At 42.4% G+C, this 12,099-nt stretch overlaps 1 protein-coding gene and 1 long non-coding RNA gene across 10 annotated transcripts in view, besides 1 other annotated feature; one reads left to right on the top strand and one right to left on the bottom strand.

Annotated features, from left to right (window-relative positions):
- The window catches only part of LOC105375659 (uncharacterized), a 50,787-nt gene that overhangs the window by 7,216 nt on the left and 31,472 nt on the right, over window positions 1-12,099 (bottom strand). Inside the window, exon 5 of the long non-coding RNA XR_007061023.1 lies at window positions 10,606-10,728. This is a non-coding gene — a long non-coding RNA (uncharacterized LOC105375659). The remainder of the gene's footprint in view (window positions 1-10,605; window positions 10,729-12,099) is intronic.
- Window positions 4,000-4,719: a silencer, noted in NCBI's record as "silent region_19396". NCBI's record gives its function as "represses an Ori minimal core promoter by ATAC-STARR-seq in GM12878 lymphoblastoid cells {active_cell/tissue: GM12878}" and the evidence as "EXISTENCE:reporter gene assay evidence [ECO:0000049][PMID:35858748]".
- Window positions 4,239-12,099, top strand: part of NIPAL2 (NIPA like domain containing 2) — a 104,410-nt gene continuing 96,549 nt past the window's right edge. For all 9 annotated transcript variants that reach the window (NR_135747.2, NR_135745.2, NR_135746.2 and 6 more), the window contains exon 1: window positions 4,239-4,471. Coding sequence is in view for 5 of the 9 variants with exons in the window: in NM_001321636.2 (NP_001308565.1) it covers window positions 4,337-4,471 (135 nt within the window). In the remaining 4 variants the exon portion in view is untranslated. The remainder of the gene's footprint in view (window positions 4,472-12,099) is intronic.

Genomic DNA, 12,099 nt, shown 5'->3' with positions numbered 1-12,099 from the left:
GATTGCTTGAGCCCAGGAGTTTGAGACCAGCCTGGGCAACATGGTGAAACCCCATTTCTACAAAAAAACCCAAAAATTAGCTGGGCGTCATGGTGTGAGCCTGTAGTCCCAGCTACTCATGAGGCTGAGGTGGGAGGATGGATTGAGCCTGGGAGATCAAGACTTCGTCCTGCCAAAATTGTACCACTGCACTCCAGCCTGGGCAACAGAGCAAGACCCTGTCTCGAAAAAAAAAAAAGTTCTTAGTTTTATTGTAATTGCACTTATGAATCTTTGTCTATGTGGATTGTATTTTTTAATTTGTTTAAGGGATGCTTCCCTATTGTAAGGTTATAGCCGGCACCTATTGAGTACTTTCTATGTTTCGGGTACTCCTTATCATCTCCCTTTTACAGGTGATAAAGACAAGGCTCAGAGAAATTGAGCAACTAGATGAGGTCATACAGCAAATAAGCAGTGGAGTCAGGATTTGAACCCAGACAGTCTGCCTTGTGTTTGCACTTTAACAATTGCCAAACTGTTGTTTATAGAGATGATGTCATATGTTATTCTATAAGATTCAAAGTTTCGCCTCTCTCATCAAAGTCTCTAATCTGGACTTGGCTTATGATGTGAGATACCTGAATTAATCCATACCCTTCTCTACTTTGGCCCCTTAAAAGCTCCTAACTTGAGTAATGCTTATTGTAACACAACTAGTATTGACTGAATTGTGCTAGAGATGAATTTTAAAAAAAACATTTTATTCATGGGAACAATCAACAATGCGGACTACTAGAGAGGGGAGGGAAGGAGGAGGGCACAGGTGGAAAAACTACCTACTGGTACTATGCTCACTACTTGGTTGCAAGAAACCCATGTAACAAACCTGCACATGTACCCCTGTATCTAAAAAAAAAGTTGAGAGAAAAAAAAAAGCTGTTTTGTTAATGCTGCCAGTGACTGATCCCAGGCAAGGTAGGCAAAATCTAACCCTGCTCTCTAAGTAAATGATTTGGCACCAGAGTAGAGTTCTTCAAATTAACTGAGGAAGACAGACTTCCACGTTTCAGCCCTTTTTTTAGCTTTTGGCATCCCGTAAAGTGAACAGGATATCCCCTGAAGAAATCCCACGAGAGGTAGAGGCCGTCACAAAGTACGGAACAATCTCCACAGCTCTGCCTACACTGCTGGGACCAAAATAGTTCACATGGCATTCCTGCCGCCTCCTTGTGAACTGTGTGGGAAGGAACGCTGGTCACGAATTCTTCGTTTCAACCACCCACACACACTAGGACAGCAGCAACAGCAGTGACATCTTGGAATCTAGAGAACACCACGTGGTAGGCTGTACATCAAATCTTCTCTGCATCATGTACCATCTTCCTCCAAAATTAGAGGTTTTAAACAAATGTAAAGAAATTGAAAATGTTTTTTTAAATTAAGAAATAAAATGGGAACAAGTTGAGTATAGCAGAGTATCAACTAAAGGGAAAAAAATCAAGCTTTTAAAGAATTAAACTTAGTTTTATTCAGAAGTCTCACTGAATTGTTTGAGGCCAGGAGTTCTAGACCAGCCTGGGAAACATAATGAGACCCCATCTCTACAAAAAATTAAAAAAAAAAAAAAATTGTCTGGGCGTGGTGACTCACGCCTGTAATCCCAGCACTTTGGGAGGCTGAGGTGGGTGGATCATGAGGTCAGGAGATCGAGACCATCCTGGCTAACACGATGAAACCCAGACTCTACTAAAAATACAAAAAATTAGCTGGGCGTGGTGGCGGGCATCTGTAGTCCCAGCTACTCAGGAGGCTGAGGCAGGAGAATGGCGTGAACTCGGGAGGCGGAGCTTGCAGTGAGCCGAGATTGTGCCACTGCACTCCAGCCTGGGTGACAGAGCAAGACTCTGTCTCAAAAAAAAAAAAAGTGTGGACTTCATTATGGCAATAGGGAGGCTTCAAGGCATTTTAAACCAGAAAGTAACACAATCCATTTAGTATTTTGCTTGTTAGCAACTGTACAACTACTTACAATCTGGCTGATAGAAAAATACTAGAGTGGTTGTACCAGGGTTGACTGGTTCCCCTCCCCCATAACCCCATGGCATTCCCACTCATCCTGGTTGGTAGAGCTTACCTCTCACTAGGTTGGAAATACCCAAGAATCACTTTCCCAGCCTCCCTTGCTGGTAGAACATGGGCATGTGACCCAGTCCCAGCCAATGGGATCTGAGGTGAAAGGATGCCAGGAGGATTCTGGAAAAGGCTTTCCTCCCTCAATGGACAAGACCAGTACCTCAGGGATAGCAGAGCAGAAAGGTGGAAGTGACGACATAATAGAACCACATAGAGACACATTCCTCTGGAGATAGCAGATAATTATTGTTTAAGCCACTTTTATTTGGATACTCTGTTACTTGCACCCTAAAGCATGTGAAGAGAAAGAAGCATTAATGAAGTCACCAATATCAATGAATGTGATGTTATAGAAAACTTATCAGACAAGGCATGGCAGCTCACACCTGTAATCCCACCACTTTGGGAGGCCGAGGTGGGACAACTGTTTGAGGCCAGGAGTTCTAGACCAGCCTAGGAAAAATTGCGAGACCCTGTCCCTACAAAAAAATAGAAAAATATTAGCCAGGGCCAGGTGTGGTGGCTCACACCTGTAATCCCAGCACTTTGGGAGGCCAAGACAGGGGGATCACTGGAGGTTAGGAGCTTGAGGCCAGCCTGACCAACACCGTGAAACCCTGTCTCTACTAAAAATACAAAAATTAGCCGGGCTTGGTGGTGTGCACGTGTAGTCCCAGCTACTCAGGAGGCTGAGGCAGGAGCATTGTTTGAACCCAGGAGGCAGAGGTTGCAGTGAGCTGAGATTGTGCCACTGCACTGCAGCCTGGGCAAGAGAGAGAGACTCTATCTAAAAAAAAAAAAAATTAGCTGGGCATGGTGGCATGCACCTGTATGTAGTCCCAGGTGGGAGGATCACTTGGGCCCAGGAATATGAGGCTAAAGTGAGTCAAGATCACACCACTGCACTCCAGCCTGGGCAACAGAGCAAGACCCTGTCTCAAAAAATAAAATAAAATGTAATATAACAAATAGAGACCTTTTTCCTTCAGATATTTATTTGAAGTAAATCAGCCTCTTAAAATTGGGAATAGTTACCTACAATTGTTAGCTGTTCACTGAACATCTCGAGTGCTTAAGCAAGAAACTACACAATTTCTGAGACGACATGTCTTGTTTTTTCTGTATGTGAAATGACTTTTTCTCACTCTTTTCTCTCATTTGCACATTTCCCCTAAGAAACACTGAAAACTGTCCCTGCTCCCTTCTAGGCAGCAATTCTCTTTTCTTGAAGGTCTCTCTTTCATGAACTCATGGAAGTCAAAGCACATTATCTAAGAAAAACCTCAGCATTGTGTAAACAAAAGAAGGCAACTATCAGCCTTCAGGCAACAGTATAGAATCATGGTTTTTTTAAAGTGAGAAATACCCTACAGATCATTTGTGGTCACACATTAGAATTTGAATACAGGTAAAACCAGAACATCTCGTTAGAGTTCTTAAGATTAATAACAACATTTATCTTTCATCCTAAATTCATATATACAGTAGCTGGCAACTTTTCAGCAACTCCACCTGATCCCATCTGAAGCAAACCCAATCCAGTCATCGCACACTGGGGTCCTATGGCTACCACATTCCTCATTCAAGGAATATTTACTAAGGATCTATCAAGCACTGGCACTGAGATTCAATCGCTCGGATCTTTTTTTCTCATATTGCTTACAATATTTCTGGGAACTCATGACTTTTTCATATGCAATCAATTTTTAAAATATCGGTGAGAAACACTACATATGTGATAGAGGACTGGAATTGCCAGGTAGAGATGGGAGATGATAGCTGCTTTGGGTTAGTCAGTGTCTCCTCCTCTTCCATTGACTTGGACAAATGTTTACAACGGAGATGATCTGATTCTGGCCCCGACAGGCGCGGGGACCCGTTGCGGACGGCCGCGGGGATTGCCCCCTTGGGCAGTGCGGCCCCGAGGATGCAGACACTGGCCCAGCGGAAGGAGGGCGCGGTGCGAGCTGGACGGCCCCGGGAGGCCGCAGACCGCCGGGCTCCCCGAGGACACCTCGCACCGGAGGAGGAGAGGAGGCAGCGCCCGGCCAGGCTGGGAGCACCTACGGCCGCGCGGGGGCGGGAGCCAGGTGGCCTCGGCGCGCCCGCCTCGCCCGGGCACCGAGCAGGAAGTGGCTGCGGCGCGGCCTCCTCGCGGTGCAACAGGGCGGGGAGGCGGCCGCAGCCCGAGCCGGAGCCCGAGCGCCGGGAGCGAGACCTCATGGCAGCGGTGGCGCCCGCGGGCCCCGGGGACTCCGCCTCGGCCGCCCTGGACGAGCTGTCACTGAATTTCACGTACGGGGCACCAGGCGCCGGCAACGGCTCCCTCTCGGGCGACTGGTACCGCAGGAACCAGGTAAGGGCCGCCCCGCAGCCACCGCAGCCCGGTGGGGACGCGGCCAGGGCGGCTGGCTCCGGGCGCCTCTGCGCCTCGGCCGCTTTCCTGCCAGCTCTCAGGAAGACACCCGGCCTCTCCGAGTGGGAAGAGGTGACATGCAATGTTTCCCGCATTGACCTAAGTCCGCCTCATCCGGAAGCGCGGGGGTCCGCCCAGTCTTCCTCTCCCGGGCACCCGGCACTGGGAGTGGGCGCCCAGGTCTTCGGCCTTGACCTCAGCCACCCGTTCCTGGGACCTCCGGGTCCCGATCCCGCCTCCCCAGCCTGCGTCCGCCCTCTTCTCCCGGAAGGAATCTAGGAGTGTGGGGGCAATTCACTCATTTTCACCCCAGGATCCTTTTACAGTTAAAAGAAAAGAAAAAAGTGACACCCTGTTATCAGAAGCAGAAAACTCATTAAGGGCAGCCTAATGTCACCTCGCGCAGATGCCCTGCGTGTGTCCCTGGTATCTCAACACAGCTCTTCCATTTCCGTGCGAGGAACACATTTTCTCAGGTTGCATTTGCAGGACTCTCATTCTTTCCCACCGGCCCTTTGGGAAAACTTTGTTAACTTAAACAACGCCAGTTTACACTGGAAATATACATTTAACAAAATCAAAGGGACTTGGAGCCGCCCATTTATTTTTGGCTTGGTTTAAGATGAGGAAGTGTTCTGGCCAGCCCTTCCTCTAGCAGCGTTCATATTGCAACTAAGTTTTATCACGGTGGATTCCAGGCTTCCTCCTGTTTTCATTAAATGTGTTACTTTGTTCTTGTTCTTTAACAAAACCATGGATACTTTTATTTTTGCAACAATATAATCAGAAAATATTTGTTGCTGTTGTCCTAAATCGGAGAGTTTAACCAATTATCAAAGATCTGGATTCCTTTTATGCCTGAAGTGTTCTAAATATTAATTTCTGAATGCAGAAGAGAATATATTTGTATAAAGAATAAGTAAGATAAATAAGCATGTTCACTTTATTAGTTTTCAAGAGGGGAGAGTATTGCTTTAAGTCATTTCATCATAAAAGATATAAAAATAGGAAAAATGAGGGTACTCAGAGCCTCTTGATCAATGTTTGTAATCCAACCCCATTTCTCCTTTCTTCTACCCACAGGAATTACAAAGAAAAGCATCATTTTTATGGGAACTTGAATCTATCTATTATATTATTCTTTTATTAGAAGTATTCCCAATATAAGTTTAAGAATGAGTTATCTATCCCCTCTTGATTAAAAAAAAAAAAAAAATAGAGGGTTAGCAGATGTGATCATCCAAAAACAGGACATTGTTTTCACAGTGGAAACCTCTGTAGTCATTAGTTTTCTTTGACATTTCCTGGAATTCTTGATTGTCTTGGCTGTCTGATATCCAAACACAGATTATCATGTGACATAAATGTGAGGCAAATAAATACTGTTTGCAAGGCTTAATTTGCCTTTGACAGTGTGTATTTGTACAGGTTAGAAAGGATGTATCCAGAATGTGCTAATTGAAATTACTGAGCTGACATCTAAACTTTGCTGGTTTGAGATAAAACTGTATCAAGTTTTGCCATTATTGTGCAAATTTAGGCCCTCTTATAAGATGGTGGTATTTTATCTTTTCAGTAATTGCATTTGTGTTAAGCAAAAGTAAAAATTAATTTTTAAAAAGTTTACTCGAGAAGCATTTTATTGAGTGCCTCTGGTGTTGTCCAGGCCAGTAAAAATAAAATTGAGTCTAATTTTTCTTGTCTTTTTTGACACTGAATAGAAATGGCTGAAAATGGGTGTGGATACAGAAAAACAAAGTGTGAGATATAAATGTGTCACTCCCACAATCAAAATGAATGTTGGTTGCTAACTAGCCACAGCTTAATGATGCTTATTTGCTTGCCTCCATTGGTTTTATCACAACTAAAATATTTGCACAGTGTGTGTTGGCTGATAGCCTAGTTCTCTGTCCCTTTATCCCTTCCAAAGTGATTATCATCAAATCTGATCAATTAACCTTACTACATAGAAAAAGACAAACTTCCCTGGAATGCTTTCATGTAATACATGTTTAACAGTGGCCACTTAGAATCAATGTTGTCTAAGACAAAGGTGTGAGTGCTTCTGGAGGAAGAAACCTCAAAGCAACTCAAAAGTAGTAGTTCAGTGGGGGAAGATGTCTTAGGAGCAGGGAAGTGAAGTCTTTGCCCTTTGCACTACTCAGACGCTGTGTGCTTGGTGAAAAGCCTGGCCTATAGAAGTATAGAAGTGATGGAGTTGTGACAGGTAAACAAAAGGCACTTTATGTTTGATCCACAAGTTTTCAGTAGAGAAGGATAATGTTCCCAAGATGTTTATTGAGCTCCATGCTATGTACAAAGCACTACAGGGATATTCAATATAGTGCAAAACCCAAACTCTTCCTTCTGTGAATATTATTAGGTGTTTGGGAAAATGAGCTATGTAGGTAATGCCAAAACAAGGCAGTATGTTGTAAGTGTCATGTGAGTGATATAAAGTCCCATGGAAATTCAGAGCAAAGGGGCATTTGGCTGGGCCATCAGGGATGTTTTGTGGAGAGGTGGTATTTGAGCTGGATGGTTAATGATGGACAGGGTTTCATTGATAGGCATGCACAGTGTAGGGCACTGCAGGAAAGGAAAAAGCTTAGGGACCCAGAAGCAGCCCTCATGGCCAGGACTGGTGCCTTTCTGAATATTTTCCTTCCTAGAGTACAATTCAACTATCATTCTGGTTGCGGTGGAAGATGGAGACTGACTATAAGGTAGAAATATGGTTTGGGGTCTTGGATATAGTCATGGGTTGCTTTGAAGGACTGGTGACAAAGTTTGGACTTTACCTTGCAGACAGTGGGGAGCCATTGAAGATTTTTTTGAGCAGGAGTGCAGGAATCAAAGCAAATTAAATTTAAAAAAATTTAAATTAAGGCTAGCAGGATTCAGTTTTCAAACTGGCCAGCTGTGGACTAAATCCAGCCTACAGATACATCTTGTTTGACCAGCAGAGAGGCTTCAAAGTCTTCAATACATTGCCAACACTTAAAAATGAGAAGATTAAATATAAAATTTCAAGTTTCCATCATCTTTTTAAATATTAGGAGTTCCAGCAATGCCGGGCCTTTTCCCCCGCATGATCACTGAGCTGGATCTCATGTTTAAAGCAAGCTGTGCTCCCCGCTGCAGCTCTCTTGGTTCTCTTTTCTTTTACCTACTGACCCCCATATGCATTTTTAAAGATTTTTTAATTTTTATGGATACATAATACTTGTACATATTTATGCGGTCCATGTGAAATTTCAAAACATAGGCATTTAATTTGCAACCAGTGCTAGAGTCTGTCACCTCTGCTGTTAACTAGCATACTTGGACAAGTCACTTAATTCCTCTGGATGTCAGTTTCCTTATTGGTAAAAATTAAAGTTGGACCAAAAGATCTCCAGCTTCCCTCATGCTATGTGGTTGAATAAATAAGAGCCAAACCAGCGAAGTTTGTAGAGAGAATGGACAGAAGAGGGAAAATGTGGGAAATAATGAGAAGGAGGATTTTGTTGTTGGTTCTTTAAGTTTATGCATATTGTTAAATGTCTAAATTCACAAGGACATAGTCAGAAAGGTTTATTCTGCATAGGGTGAGATGAAACTTCAGGATTTTTTATGCCCTTTCTTTGAACTTTTGATTTTCAATGGCTTGGATTTTAAAGTCAACATATTTAAGGGAAAATTGATACAACTTGGCAGGGAGGAGGACAGTGAGGAGACTGACATTTGTTATGCATTTACTATGTGACACTTTATAGCTGTTATCTCATTTGAGCCCCCCTCAACCTCAAAAGGTATGTGTTATCCTCACTGCTCATGTAAGGACACTTGTGTTAAATATCTTGCCCCAAGATCTTACAGCAAGTGGGTTTAACTGCAAAACTACTTTTATTCCATGCCTGAAGGCCATTGCTAGAAACTAAGGCTTGAAAACAATGTGGTAAGAGTCCATGCGAGGGGAAAATGATTAAGGCTTCTGTCTTGCTGGACTTGAGAAAAATCATGCTGAGTTTTATATTACCCTTTTATTAATTTTGCTTTGCTACCATCTATCTCTTTTCTACTAGTAGCTGCATATGACTATCCCTTAAAGAAAGAATAGTGCAAAACTTTCAAATAATCAAAGGGCTGAGTAGAGGTTGCTTGCTGGTCCTTTCCATTTCCTTCCTAAGAAAAATCCTTTTTCTATTTTGTTTTGTTTATACTTGATTTTGTTCCCTTCCTTATGTATCCAATGTGACATTTTTTCCTTTATCAGATTTTCTAGGAGATGTATGTATAAGGCAGCAAGAAGCCAAGCATGGTAGCTCGTGCCTGTAGTCCCAGCTACTCAGGAGGCTGAGACAGGAGGATCTCTTGAGCCCAAGAGTTCAAGACCAGCCTGGGCAACATAGAACGATGCTGTCCCTTAAAAAGAAAAAAAAAAAAGCAAGAAGAAGGAAGAGGGAGGAAGAAAGAGATTAAGAGATTACCTCAAAGCAACTGTTCAAAACTTTTGTAAATCAATAAATAAGTCCCCGGGGCCCTTGTTAGAGGAACTGAGTTTTAATATACTTGTATATGTGGCAGACTAGATATTTCCATTTAAATCTACCTGATACCCTCCTTATGGCTTGAGTCATGCTACATAGTTATAATATTCGCATTGATGCAATCAGCTGAATCCAGGCTATGGGAAACTGCCAGATTACAGCATACATGGCCTGGTTTCTTAAAAAATCATTTATATGAGGAAAAAAAGGGGAAAAATGGATAGTTGGATGACCTATAGATTAAAATAGACCTAAAAGACACAGCAGAAAAAGACACCATTTACTATAGTATTTAGGGTTTCTTAAAAAATCATTTTTATGAGGAAAAAAGTGGAAAAAATGGATAGTTGGATGACCTATAGATTAAAATAGACCTAAAAGACACAGCAGAAAAAGACACCATTTACTATAGTATTTGGGAGCACACACTTGGGTGATAAAGCTATAAGGAAAAGCAAGAAAGTGATTGCCACAAAGTCAGGCCAGCGATTCCTCTGGGGAAGAGAGAGGGTTGTGATGGGAGGAGGGAAAGGGAGGGTTTGTGTGGGGACCCAATTTCTATTCTTGATCTGGATATTTCCCGTATGACAATTTATTGTAGTAATTTACTCATCAAAATAATTATCTTCACAGTTGTCTATGTAATACCACAATGAGATACCATCTCACACCAGTTAGAATGGCAATCATTAAAAAGTCAGGAAACAACAGGTGCTGGAGAGGATGTGGAGAAATAGGAACACTTTTACACTGTTGGTGGGACTGTAAACTAGTTCAACCATTGTGGAAGTCAGTGTGGCGATTCCTCAGGGATCTAGAACTGGAAATACCATTTGACCCAGCCATCCCATTACTGGGTATATACCCAAAGGACTATAAATCATGCTGCTATAAAGACACATGCACACGTATGTTTATTGCAGCATTATTCACGATAGCAAAGACTTGGAACCAACCCAAATGTCCAACAATGATAGACTGGATTAAGAAAATGTGGCATATATACACCATGGAATACTATGCAGCCATAAAAAATGATGAGTTCATGTCCTTTGTAGGGACATGGATGAAATTGGAAATCATCATTCTCAGTAAACTATCGCAAGAACAAAAAACCAAACACCACATATTCTCACTCATAGGTGGGAATTGAACAATGAGATCACATGGACACAGGAAAGGGAATATCACACTCTGGGGACTGTTGTGGGGTGGGGGGAGGGGAGAAGGATAGCATTGGGAGATATACCTAATGCTAGATGACGAGTTAGTGGGTGCAGTGCACCAGCATGGCACATGTATACATATGTAACTAACCTGCACAATGTGCACATGTACCCTAAAACTTAAAGTATAATAATTAAAAAATATATATGTATAAAATAAAAAATAATACTAGCATTGCTATGACTATTCAACTTGCATGCTTCACCTAGGTAGCATGGGAAATGGTATGTCATATTCATTTTGTTAGCTTATGAGAATTAAACAATTTCTTTTTCCAGTGTTGATGATTGTTCACACTGACATTTGATAACTTACCTTGGAAAGGCTGGCATTCCCCAAAGCTATCCTTTTTGTTCCTGTATTGTGCTGTTATAAAAGCTTCAGCTCTTTACTGGATGTGTTGCCAAGTTTCTCAATTTCTCCATTTCTCGGCTTTCTCTATATAAATGGAAATAATAATAATACATATGTACCTTATAGAGTTGTTGTAGGCACAAAATAAGATAATGCATGTCAAATAGTTAGCAAAATGCCAGACACATAGCAAGTACCCAATAAACACTAGCTATTATTACATTGCAATCAACCTATATTATAGGACATGTCATAAAAATATATATCTAATAATCAGTAATTTTTGGACTCAGCTCATTGCAAATGGAAATAAGAAAAATTATGTCAGTTATTTAATGTAACTTTGCTTTCTTTAAACCATAACCACTATTTCTCTGCATCTAGTGCCTTCCTCACGCTCTTTGATGTTTGCCTCCCTTTCAGTCACATTTCAGAACACTTCCTAATGAGAGTCATTTTCTAATTGGAGCACTTGATATCTCGAAGTACTAAGGCAGAGATTCTTCCCATGTCTTCAGCCACTTTCCAGACTTCTAGGTTAGAAAGGTGGTGCGTGTAGCACTGGGAACAGCTGATAGAGGTGTTTGGTGGCAATAGTGTCATCATATTTCATAGACCCTGACTGTAGTTTAACCAACCAGTAGGACCACCACCCCAGCCTAGGAAAGCTCATTTAGTGTTAACATAAGACTTTGTGCCATTTATTTTAGCTTGTTTTTTTTTCCTGAAAGACCGATATTCCTCTATTCCATTTATAACTTCTGTTAACTACCCCCTTCCCCATCCTATGTTCCAATAGACTTACATTTTACATAAAGTCAAATCTCTTCACCCAGTCTGTCATGGCCCACCAAAGCGTCCTAATTGCATGAGGCCTGACAGATAGCACTCTACTGCCCCTCCATATAGCTCTCAGGATGTACACACTACACATTTGCCTCACCATGTCACTTTCCCAGCCCTTGGTCAGTCTCAACGTGTTTGTTTGTTTTTGGTTTTTTTTTTTTTTTTTTTTTTGACAGAGTCTCACTCTGTCACTCAGGCTGGAGTGCAGTTGCAGTTGTATGATCTCAGCTCGCTGCAACCTCTGCCTCCTGGGTTCAAGTGATTCTCCTGCCGCAGCCTCCTGAGTAGCTGGGACTACAGGCGTGTACCACCACGCCCAGATAATTTTTGTATTTTTAGTAGAGACAGGGTTTCACCATGTTGGCCAGGCTGGTCTCAAACTCCTGACCTCAGGTGATCCACCTGTCTCGGACTCCCAAAGTGCTGGGATTACAGGTATGAGCCACCATGCCTAGCCTCAACAAGGTATCTTGCCATCTTTGGCACATATCAGGAGGTGCTGACTGATCCCTAATGTAAATATGGGCTAACATATATTTAGTTATGAGCTCCATGCCTCACTGAAGATTGCATTTGCCCCAACATGACTTCTTCAGAGACCCACCCTGA

This window comes from Homo sapiens, chromosome 8 (assembly GCF_000001405.40).
Source record: "Homo sapiens chromosome 8, GRCh38.p14 Primary Assembly".
NCBI classification, from domain to species: Eukaryota; Metazoa; Chordata; class Mammalia; order Primates; family Hominidae; genus Homo; species Homo sapiens.
The sequence above is the reverse complement of the archived record's forward strand: the minus strand, read 5'-3'. Positions and strand labels throughout refer to the sequence as shown.